We start from the raw sequence: 12,271 nt of genomic DNA on the forward strand, positions 1-12,271 counted from the left end.
ACATTTGTGTTCCCCCTCCTCTTCAAAACTTTGTTTCAATTTGAATTTTTCAGTGAGTCTTTTTTCTGACCACCCTATTTAAAACTCAAACACTAATCTCCAGTTTCTGGCCTCTATTGTCCTTTTCTACTTCCCTGCTTGATTATTCTCCAACAAAAACCTACCACACTCAAATACATCATGTATTGCATATATTTGTGTATTGACAATTTGACTCTCTTATTTGGATTGTATGATTTGTGAGGACAAAGGTGCTTCCTTTCTTCTTTACTAGTATATTTTCTAATTTAATATTCAACATAGACTAGGTTCTCATGAAATACTTTTCAACAAACTAATCTTAGCTATCATACCCTCAAAATATACATCCACGAAGAGAAAATTATTTTAATGTTTTTCTGAAGTCCTCAGAGTTCTCCTTATGTTTAGATACTAGTTCCCATATTTCTGGCATGTTTACATGTCTCCCTCAAGACACAAATCCGTATTTCTCACCGCTTTTCTCATCGTATGTTATGTATTATTCAATATTAATTAGTTGAGATTCTTAATTTCATGGTTTCCCTAGATTTGCCCTGTCACTTTTTCTGCCTCAAATTTTCCATGCAATTCCAAATACTACTTGCACACTAGCATTCAGATTAATGCTGACCGACACTCAGAAGTTTCAGTTGAGCATTCCATGACTGCCAAATAACCCTTTTGCCTAGCATTTATCCAACCAGCAAATATAGAATGCTTTGAGATGGCCCAGTTTCTTGGATCTGTTGGTGTATAACTATAGGTTTGTATGAAACAAACCAGCATGCTTTGGGTGACATCAGTAGTTTTCTTAGAAATCCTACCTAACAGGCATACTATTCTATATAAAAATGAGGCCACTTTTTCTCAGTGTTTTCTCTCGCCTTTTTTTTTTTACTGTATCCCAGAAACATTACAGTTTGATATCAAGTTCCTATTTTAAGAGTCACCCATTTGCCCACCATAAGTTCCTGGAGAAGGTAGAGTAGTACAGGACTAACCTTCCAGCATCTGGTTCTGGTGGTTTCCACATTCAGGTTTCTGTGATTTTCACAAGCTTTTTCCCACAAAGACTGCATTTTCTGTAAAAGCTTCTCCTGCAAAAGAGCCATAAATTGAAGCACCAGTGCAGACCATGACATAGGGAGGGGGCCCAGAATGAGAGACAAATAAGCCCCTAGTAAATGGCATTTCCTTTGTTTCCCTTCATGTTTGTCAAAGCCCAGAGGTTGGAAGCTAAGAAAGCCCAAACAGAGCTGCTTAAAGGGACTCAGAGTTGGCTTTATCCAATCTCCAAGAAAATAGACCCACAGGAATTTTATGCTTCCTTTACAGAAATCGATCTTCAGAGCCATCACTTACCCGGTGTTCCTCAGCAGCCCACTCAATGGGACGGTGTCTGTGATACCGGTGCTCCTGAGAGCTGGAGCACAGCAAACAGAGCAGGCTCCTGTCCACTTCACAGAATATCTTCTTTGTCTCCCTGTGAGTGCCACACATTTGCTCCTCAGAGCTCAGGAATAGCCAGAGACTGACTTTTCTGGCAAGAGAAGCCATCTTCTTCAAATGAATGTTGGTTTTGAGGTTTATCTGCTCGGTTGACTTTGTGCATTCAGAGCACTGGACAAGAAATGGGATGTCTTGCCAGTTGAGGTAGAAACAAGGCCTGCAAAAGCTGTGCCCACAGTCTATGGTGACCGGGTCTATGAAGTAGTTCATGCACAGGGGGCAGATGAGTTCCCCCTGAAAGACCTGTAAGATTCCAGAATTCATGTTTCTGAGGAACAAAGAGAAACATGTCATTTTGGGGCCTGGGTTGATGAAAACCTTCTAAACATGTGGAGATATGTGATAGTTATATTTTCTTCTCTTGACAGTGTTCATTAAAGTACAACAAACTATTTCTTCTGTTACAAACTTAAAAATTTACACTTAGAGGGAGTCTCCTGGCTTTCTAACAGATATTACTAACCAGAGGACTCACAGTCCCTTCTACTCCTAGTTCCTGTCTGTAGCATAATACAAACCTATTCAACTACCCATTTTCTGAACATAGATCTGGAAATTGGGTTTTGATTCTAAGTGGTCAGAATAAATCATAGTTGTCCCTATTCTTCTTTCAATAACTGATGAATGACTGTGAAAGAGTGGGAGGGAAAAAACTACCCGGGCCAAAGAAATATGAGAAGATGGCCAAAGAAATATGAGAAGATGGTTCTATGACATATTTTTATAGAGAGTCACAAAAGCCGGGCAGCAAACCACCATGGCACAAGTTTACCTACATAACAAGCCTGCAAGTCCTGCAGTTATCCCAGGACTTAAAATTAAATTAAATTAAAAACAAAGACCCAAATCAAAACAAAATTTAAAAAAAAGCCAACCAACCAAATAAACAAAGAAAAAGACTGCAATTAAACTAATCAAGTTTCACTAGTAGGGAAAAGAAAAATTATTAAAGATATTGGGTCTTTTTATTTTCTTGCGGATTAAATTAACTTCCCCTAGGGCTGTGCAAGCTCTGAACTAACATATAGGAGGTTTTTGTTAAACTCAGAGAGGTGTAATTATATTTCCATAGTGTGATGGTGAATTTTAGGTATCAGTCTGACTGGATTAACCAACACCTAGGGAACTAGTGAAGCATTGTTTGTGGGTGAGTCTGTGAAGGTGTTTCTAGAGGAGAGAGACATGTGAGCTGGTGAGCTGAGTGGGAGCCTCATCTCTCAATGTGTGTGGGCACCATCCAATCAGCTGACACCTCAGATATAAAGAAAAAGGCAGAAAAAAGGCAACTTCCTCCGTCTCTCTCCTGAAACTTGTTCTGAACCTTTCAGACTTGAGCTTAGCCAGGATACCGGTATTCTCAGGACACCAGCTTAGAGACAGCCTATATTGGAACTCTCTAGACTCCATAATCAAGCAAATTAATTTTCCTGATGAATTCTGTCCCATGTAGAATCATGTATAGCTTGTGGACAGATGTATGTTCTGAGAAATGTGTCAGGTGTTTTTAGTTTTTTTTTGTTTTTTTTTTTTGAGACAGAGTATCCTTCTGTCACGCAGGCTGAAATGCAGTGGCGTGATCTCGGCTCACTGTAACCTCCGCCTCCAGGTTCAGAGCGATTCTCCTGCATCAGGTTCCCAAGTACCTGGGATTACAGGAACGTGACACTAGGCCTGGCTAATTTTTGTATTTTTTTAGTAGAGATGGGGTTTTGCCATCTTGGCCAGGCTGCACTTGAACTTCTGGCCTCAAGTGATCTGCCTGCCTTGGCTTTGCAAAGTGCTGGGATTCTAGGCACGCGCCACAGTGCCCAGCCCGGCGGTTTCATTGTTTTAATATGATAGAATATACCACACAAATCTAGATGGTATAGCCTACTACACCTATGGTATACACTATAGCCTATTGTTCCTACAATAGGCTACAAACCTGTACAGTATGTTCTGTACTGCATACTGTAGGCAACTGTAACACAATGATAACTATTTGTGTATCTAAACATAATTGAATACAGAAAAGGTACAGTAAACATATTGGTATTATAATCTTATGGGACCCCCATATGTGGTTTGTGGCTGACTCAAATGGCCCATGAATGTATCTGCACACATATATGTATACATCCTATGGTTCTGTCTGGAGAACCCTGACTAATATAAAAACTATAATCTTTGTTTTGGCAATTTTAAATCCTTTAGCATAAAGCAGCATAAAGCTGCTAGTTTTATATCACTTCTGAATTTAAGTGAAAGCAGTGAAAAATCTTAGAATTGCAAATATTTTCCAGAACTCATCTAAGACATTTTAAGAAATTTTTCACAGTTTAATAAGATTGAGACTCAAGTGAGATGACAATCACAATCACATACCATATTAGGTCTTATAAATTTACTTGTTCGAAAAATTGTGTTTTGATTTCTAAAGTAGGATATTTTGGGGAGCTTTCTCATTGTTTTAGTTTCACTATTTTGCATCGCTCATCATTACCTTACTAATTTAAAGTCATGTCTAAAACCTGAATGTTATGAAAGCAAATAACTTCATCATTCATTAATGTCTTCTCAATTCAATTTGACAATATTAATACACTCATTACATACATATACACACACACCTATGTGTACATATATGTATCAACTCCATATATTCATTATGAATACATATCTGTTGCAGCAAACACTAGATATTTTAAGTTTTTCAGAACTATATTAAACAATCATAGAAAGCACAAAATAACAACAATTAGTATCCTTATAATTCATAAAATCTATAGTAAGAACATGAGTTACAAATGGTATCATTGTGTAGATTTCAGATAATGAGATATTTTTAACACTCTAATTTATTATTGTGTAAAGGAAAGATGATATAATTTTATCAATATGTTTCACTCACCCTGGAGTTCTTTTAATGGTTCCCACAACGATTTTTCCAAAAATAATTTTGTTAAGTTCACCTCAAGATCAGAAGCTCATTCACTGCAGTACTGAATTTCAGAGGTCGCCAAAATGCAGTTCTAAGTGCAGTCCTTCTCCTTCAGAGAAAACTGAGCTTGTCTCTTCCGTGTCCTTTTATAAGAACCTGTGAAGACCACACCCACCTCTTTATGGGTATTTAGAGCATTCAGAAAGGTGGAGACAAAGATGATTAGGTTTATGCAGTATTTAGAACACACCTTTGCAGCTCTGATTAAATTATCATCACACTTTCATTCTGAACACCAGTGCCTGAATGAATCATATGTAACATAAATCCTGTCAGAGCATACATAGGCTAGAAATTAACTAAGATGCATTTTATACTGTTTATTGAGTTTCTTCCATGATACAGGCATTCCTCTAAGTGCACATTTATTTATTCTAGAGAAAGGGTCTCCTTCTGGAGTGCAGTAGCATAATCATAGCTCCCTGCAGCCTTGAATTCCAAGTAATCCTCCTGCTTCAGCCTTCCAAGTAGCTACGACTTTAGGCTCACACTATATCACCTGGCTAATTTTTTTTGTTGAAATTTTTGGTAAAGTCAGTGTATGACTCTGTAGCCCATGCTGTTCTCCAACTCCTGGCTTCAAGTGGTCCTCTGGTCTCGGCCTTCCAAAGTGCTAAGAGTACAGGTATAAACCACCTCATCCAGCTTAAATGCTGCTTTAGTACATTTATAGGATATTTCCAGAGAAGTCCAATGGAAGATAAAACTTTCCTTTTTGTTTTCTGTTTTCTACCACTCTAAGAGAAATCACTGATTAACCAAATAAACCCACTAACCTGGGGTCTCTCATTGAATTTACAAAACTTCACCAGTCTCATGGGTGAAAGATGAGTTATGATTTTAACGTTTTTCTCCATATAGTGCATGATGTCCTACAATGACTAGGAGTGCACCACGGGAATTATTTTGGGGATTACACATAACTTTTAGCATATAGGCAAATTCACAAATACAGAATCCAAATGATAGAGATGGACTATATTTTTCTTTCTATGCCAAGTCTTTTTGTTGTTATATGAAAATTATTTTTTTTAAAAAAGAGATTTCAGAAGGGACTACTCAAATATCTTCTGATAGAGGAATTCTTTGCCAATGGTCCAGAAGACTTATGGTCAAGACTGTCAAAACAGTGAAGACAAATCTATCAGACCCAGGTCTGTCCAGGTTCAAAGACAAAAGCAGAACCCATAAGATATATGTATAGTTAGGGAGATTCACATATGAATTAAGTGCAAAGACTTGACTTACCCAATTGTGGGAGCTGCTTAAGCAAATGTGAGATCCTGGGTACAGTCCATCAGGAAAAGAAATCCCCCGCTGGCTGGATCCCAGTGGTCATGAATCAAAGCTTTGGTTTAAAGTCAATAGGGGGCAACTGGAAGATTAGAGTCCCATTTGCCATTTAAAATGTTGTTCAAGGAATGCCTATGTGTTTCTTTAAAGGACTTTCACTGATGAAGTCAGGCTTACTTGGGTACACTTCCTAGTTACAGGATTAGGACCTTTGCTCGCATCTGCAAAATGCCTTTCCAGCAGGTCCTAAGTAAGTGTTTCATTGAAGAATAATAAGGTATGTCTATGCCACAAAATGGCTACTGCCCTCATTTCCCTCTTTGTACATACATGTACTCAAGTTGACACATCATAAAATCATCCAGAGTTTATATTTAATTAAATACAAGGAATTGAACAATAGATTTTCTTGTTCTATTGTCAGTTTACTATCCAAGACCACCAACTGACTGACCACCCTGTATGCACATTCTGTACCTCAATAAATCTAAGTAATTAACCAAAGTGTCCACACAGAAGTAAGATCTGCGCTGGTTGTGTGTGGGGGCCCTCTTGGCTCAGTCCTGGACTCCAGAGTGGGAAACTTGTGAAACCCTGGGTCATGGACTTGATCCTGTGGACATTCTCTGCTTAAATTCTGGAGCTCCGTGGCGGGGCCCTGGTACTCCATTACAAGGTCTGATGATGCTGTGTATCAGGAAGGAATTAGGGCAAGGAGAGAAAGGAAGGTAGGTAGCTTCTGATTTTATTTCAACCACTTTTTGCACCACATCATTCACTTATTCAAACACTCAGCTTTAGGCAGTTGAAGCCTAGAGCACTGGAAATTAGGAGCTTTCAATTACAGACCTACCTCTGTCTACTGTGGCATTATCAAGGAAACAACCTATTTTCCTACTTGAGTCTCAGACCATGAAACAAATATAAGAAAGTAATTCTCTTTAGAGTTGGCATTTTGTAGGTTCCAAAAGTCCTACCCAATCCAGAAGAGAGAGTAGAGGTGGGTATAGGCAAGAACAATCCGTGATGTGGATAAAGGACACTCCAGCCAATTTGGAATATTTCCTTATTTCCCAGTGCTTCTCCTTTTAATAAAAAAGATACTTTTTTGTACATGAGACTGTTTCCATTCTAGCATCTGAAACCTACCTCTACCACAAAGTTTTCTGTTGAATTACACATCTATTTTTGAGAATCTGGTAATAGACTCTTTTGTTCATCTGGGTTCTAAAACTCATTGGAAAATCTTTGTATGAAAGTTGGTGATCTATTTCTCGTTCCTTAACATATGTAGAAATCTGACTTTATTTAATTCTGGAAATTTTTAAATTTTTATAAAAATGCCATTCTATGATAAATACCATTTAAAACCTAGGTATTATAACTACTTTGACATTTTGTTTGTTTTATTTGCGCACATGGAGAGAATTCTGCATATTTTTTCCCATGCTAACAAAATTTATTAATTTTCCACAAATTTATATTTTGCTTTGTGGATCCTGAATGTCCAGGGCTATCTTTTCTTTAACGCTTTTTTTTTTTTTGGCATTTCTTCTCAATTGTTTTACCCGTTTATTGTCTATTTTTCTACAAACCCCAGTCATTTTCTCTTGAAACCTCTTATCTATTTGAGTGGAGAGAAATATGTTAGAAAAAGGAAGGGGACAATGTGATACATGGGCTATGATGTACCAGTTACTGTGCTGTCTCCATGCACACATTGTTCCTAATCTCCACAGAAAACATGCAATATGTGTAGCATTGTCCCAACTTTACATATGAGCACATAAAAGGTAAGCTTTTCGTTGTTGTTGTTGAGTCCGAGTCTCACTCTGTCGCCCAGGCTGGAGTGCAGTGGCGGCGTGATCTTGGCTCACTGCAAGTTCCACCTGCCGGGTTCACTCCATTCTCCTGCCTCAGCCTCCCGAGTAGCTGGGACTACAGGCGCCCGCCACCATGCCCGGCTAATTTTTTTGTACTTTTAGTAGAGACGGGATTACACTGTGTTAGCCAGGATGGTCTCAATCTCCTGACCTCGTGATCCGCCCGCCTCAGCCTCCCAAAGTGCTGGGATTACAGACGTGAGCCACCGCGCCCGGTCGTAAGCAATCTTTTTATGGTCCTGTTTCCTGTATGGGATGGATTCAGGGATCAATTACATGTCGTCAACTCCATAAATCCTCAAATCTCTCAACGTATTTTCTCACTTAGAGCCACAGAAACACATATGATTCCTTCTGTGCTTGTGTGTTCAGGTGAGGTTCAGCCTACATTCTGAAGTTTCTTCCTCTGATGAATGAAACATTGAGTTCTTGAATATAGCTACATTATCATTAGGCTGTAAAAATCAGAATCAAATAGGTTTCCTTCCTTGAGAAAATAATGGAGGCAACAGTTACAAACAGCACTCTAGGTTTTAGATTTCAATCATGTTTTTCCTTTTCTATTCTTTTTTCTTTTCTTAGAGACAGGGTCTCACTCTGTCATCCAGACTATAGAGCAGTTGCTGGATCATAGCTACTGCAGCTTCAACCTCCTAGGCTCAAGTGATCCTCAACCTCGGCCTCCTGAGTAGCTCTGACTACAGGCAGACACCCGCACTTCAGGTTAGTTTTTAAATTGTTTGTGGAGATATGGTCTTCTTATGCTGTTCTGGCTGGTCTCAAACTCCTGGACTCAATCCTCCTGCTTCGACCTTCCAAGGCACTGGGATTACAGGCGTGAGCCACGGTTCCCAGCCTCGAAGCATTTTCATAGCAAAGAGTTAACAGAACATTTTCTTCTCTAGATTCAGTAGACACAAGATTCTTATATTTTATTCTTCCCATATCTGGCTGTGTATCCTGTTCGCAGACATTACATTGCCAAATTTGTTTTCCATTCATCTTTCCTAGCACAGTATAGAAAAACGAGTACTGTGGAGTAGAGTTTTCACATTCTTTCCTGAACCCTGCCAGTTCTAATGGTGCTCATGGACTTAGCCATTTCCCTTCACTGGAATCCATTCTTGTTTATAAACAACAGTAAGTGTTGTTTATAAAATTTCCAAGGAACAGAGCAGAATGTAAGGTTAGCATATCTTGTGTTTTTACCTCCCCTAAGCCCAAAGGATCATGAGTACTACATACAGAAATCTTTCCTCCTTACCCCTGTCACATTCTACTTGGATGCTGTGGAGAAATAAACCCAGTGTATCCCCTTCTGCTATACAAAATAATACTATTTGGCTTAAACTGATGTTTGTAAAATTTCATCCACAGATTTCAGTCACATTTTCAAATAAATCCATTATAAAACCATGTAATACAAGTTGACTGTTTGTTATTCACAATGTTAGGGCCAGAAGAATTTCAGGTTTTGGATATTTGTGGATTACAGAATATTTGCATAGACATAATAAGATATCTTGTGTATCAACCCAAGTGTAAACACAAAATTTATGTTTCATATACACCTTATACAGATAGGCTAAAGATAATTTTAGACAATATTTTAAATAACTTTATTCATGAAGCAAAGTTTGTGTACACATGCCATTTTATTACCCTTTGTGAGTGCTCTTGCTCGGGGGCATCTAGGTGGACACAGAAAGATATATTGCAACTGAAGGGGCTGGGAGAGTCTTTTGTTCACTGAGAATATGTTTTGACTGTAACTTCTCATATGAGGTCACGTGTGGGATATTTCACTTTTGGTGACATTTCACAGCTCAAAACATTTGAGATTTTGGAGTATTTTGGATTTTTAGATATTTTGATTAGTGGTGCTCAACCTGTATGTTATTTCATCTTTTTTTTCTCCAGGTAGGAATGGAAAATGCATTTTTGTTTTTACTTGTATTACACATTTTTTCCAACTCAAATTCATTATGCATATTGTTAGATGTCTTCAAATTTTGATGAAAAGTCTCAAGTTATATCAATTACTATTTTCAAAAATTGTTTGTAATAAGTAGATTAAATACCATGATAATCCACAGTTAAAAAAATAAACACAAATTCATGTGCTTGTATTCCAGTTGGGTTTTTTTTCCAAACGATGAGCATTAATGAAATACTATACCTTAAAACCTTTTTCTAAATATATTTGAGAATATTGTTTGAAAGTAAAAAATTGAAAAGGACTGAACATACCATAATAAATGATATTTGTGCTTAAGAAGGCTGTCTTTTTCAGAGATTATTTATAAAATAAAAATACACATTTCTAACCTTGTCTCAGTTAAGAGCTTGTTACTGATGTGTTACTTATGATGTTGAATGTTGTTAGTCTAACAGGATGCACTGGTAATAGGACCCTGTCAAGCTGAACTTTCCCGATTTAAATGCTACCTCACCATTCCTGTGCAGTATGTTTTTATTAGAATTCTAGCAGTATGTATTTTATATTGTGACCTAAATAACAAGCACACACAAAAATGATTTCACACTGTGTATGCCGATGTATTTTAAAGTCTATGAAAAATATTGTAGGTATCAGCAAGTAGAACACTGCTTCATACATAGAAAGGGACCAATTAATGCTAAGTAAATGTTATTAGTTACTTAAAGAACTTTGCATTATGTAAATACATCCAAATCAATTATTATTTGGATGGTAATATGATAGCAAACCTAGATGCAGATTTAAGAAGAATATTGAGCAAGAATGGGTTAGGAGGGTGTGAGGAGTAGGCCACAGAGAAAGTTAATACCTATAATTTGCTGAGTCAGAGTTGAAAGCACCTATAGGCTAAGTGGATACCTCCCATTCTGACCCATTTCAGCAAAATATTTGAATCTTCCATGTTTTTCATAATTCTGGGAGTTTAGAAAATGCTTTAGAGAAGTGAAAGAGCCACTATATTTTATATTCGTTTATTTATTGTGTTTGGTGATTTGAGAATTTCTCTAAGTCACCAGAGATAGAGCTTCAGAATATTAATCTCAGGATACAAATCTATTTTTCAATTTTATACCCGTACATAACCCATTCTCCAAAGGTGACCCCTCTGTTAAGTGATAGTAAATTATCTTCAATGTCATTTAAGTTCACCAGTTTCTTGTGAAATGTTTTTAACTTTAAAAAGTTTAAAAACACAAAAAGCCATTCTTTAAAACTAAACATGTATAAATCAAGTTCTTAAAAACCAATCCAGCCTGGGCGTGGTGGCTCAGTCCCAACACTCTGGGAAGCCGAGGTGGGTGGATCCCTTGAGGTCAGGAGTTCAAGACAAGTCTGATCAACATGGCAAAACCCTATATCTAATAAAAATACAAAAATTAGGCTGGCATAGTTGCACGGACCTGTAGTCCCAGCTACTCAGGAGGCTGTGGCAGGAGAATCACCCGAACCAGGGAGGCAGAGGATGCAGTGAACTTAGACAGTGCCACTGCGATTCAGCCTGGGCAACAGAGTGAGACTACATTTCAAAATAAATAAATAAATAAATAAATAAATAAATAAAGTCTTCTACTCTTTAAAAATCATGGAAAATCTAGTATTGTAGATAAAAGCAGAAAACAAAATAGTTCTTCATATATTTTAGGTTTTAATAAGGAGTCATTAAAAGATAATTATAAAGTCACTTTATGTGGACTTAAAAAGGTAACATCAGGCCGCTGTGGCAGCTCATGCCTGTAATCCCAGCACTTTGGGAGGCCAAGGCGGGTGGATTATCTGAGGTCAGGAGTTCGAGACCAGCCCTCTCTACTAAAAATACAAAAATTAGCTGGGCATGGTGGCAGGCACCTGTAATCCCAGCAGAAGATTTGCTTGAACCCCTGGGGTGGAGGTTGCAGTGAGCCGAGATCCTGCCACTTCACTCCCGTCTGGGAGTGACATTGTATAATGACATCAGACAACTGATTTAGTTATCTAACATTGGAATGTATTTGTAGAAGTTTTTTTAAAATTTTAATCGATAAAGCAATTATACAATTAAATAGAGCCAATCGAAAGGATTAGGTTTTGCCTTTGAAACTGCAGAATCCTAATCTTCTATTAAGGATGTATCCATGCATAGTGTAAATTTTTTAAAAAATACGTAAATAAAAGGAATGTAGTGAAGTGTTTTAAGAAAAGTTTCTAACTTTGGAAATTCTACACAATGTACATGTAACAAAGTTCAGTCTTCCACATTATTAAAAAAAATAAAAAACCTCAGCGTTGGCCATTAGGATGCCAAGACATATCCAGTGAATGCTCAATTATAAAGCATCTAGCCTGGCTCACTTTGAAAACTTTTCTTCTAAAATTGTCTTCCTGGGGCCTTTAATACTTGACTCTAATTTATAGTTCTAGAAACTATTGAGTTTAGAGAAAGTAAATTCCAATCCATCCTTTCTAAAAGAACTTAAGTAGGCTTAGGACTTTCTTCCTAAAATGTATGAACATTGTTGTTCAAGCGTGTCATCGCATCACATTGAGAGGTGGACACAGGAAAGGAGTTTGAGAAAAGCCTAGGCAACATTGCGAAAACTCGTC

At 37.5% G+C, this 12,271-nt stretch overlaps 1 protein-coding gene across 3 annotated transcripts in view; it reads right to left on the reverse strand.

The window, feature by feature from the left end:
* TRIM49 (tripartite motif containing 49) overlaps positions 1-5,900 on the reverse strand; it is a 42,125-nt gene extending 36,225 nt beyond the window's left edge. Inside the window, exons 1-4 of one of the 3 annotated variants that reach the window (NM_020358.2) lie at positions 5,762-5,900; positions 4,424-4,609; positions 1,384-1,798; positions 1,023-1,118 (exon numbers count right to left, since the gene is read on the reverse strand). In NM_020358.2, the coding sequence (NP_065091.1) occupies positions 1,023-1,118; positions 1,384-1,794 (507 nt within the window). In that variant the 5' untranslated portion in view covers positions 1,795-1,798; positions 4,424-4,609; positions 5,762-5,900. Of the gene's footprint in view, positions 1-1,022; positions 1,119-1,383; positions 1,799-4,423; positions 4,610-5,761 lie in introns of those variants that run through there. The other 2 variants (XM_024448617.2, XM_017018027.3) reach the window with 2 other exon arrangements.
* Positions 5,901-12,271: the final 6,371 nt, after the last annotated feature.

This window comes from Homo sapiens, chromosome 11, assembly GCF_000001405.40.
Source record: "Homo sapiens chromosome 11, GRCh38.p14 Primary Assembly".
Lineage (NCBI taxonomy): Eukaryota > Metazoa > Chordata > Mammalia > Primates > Hominidae > Homo > Homo sapiens.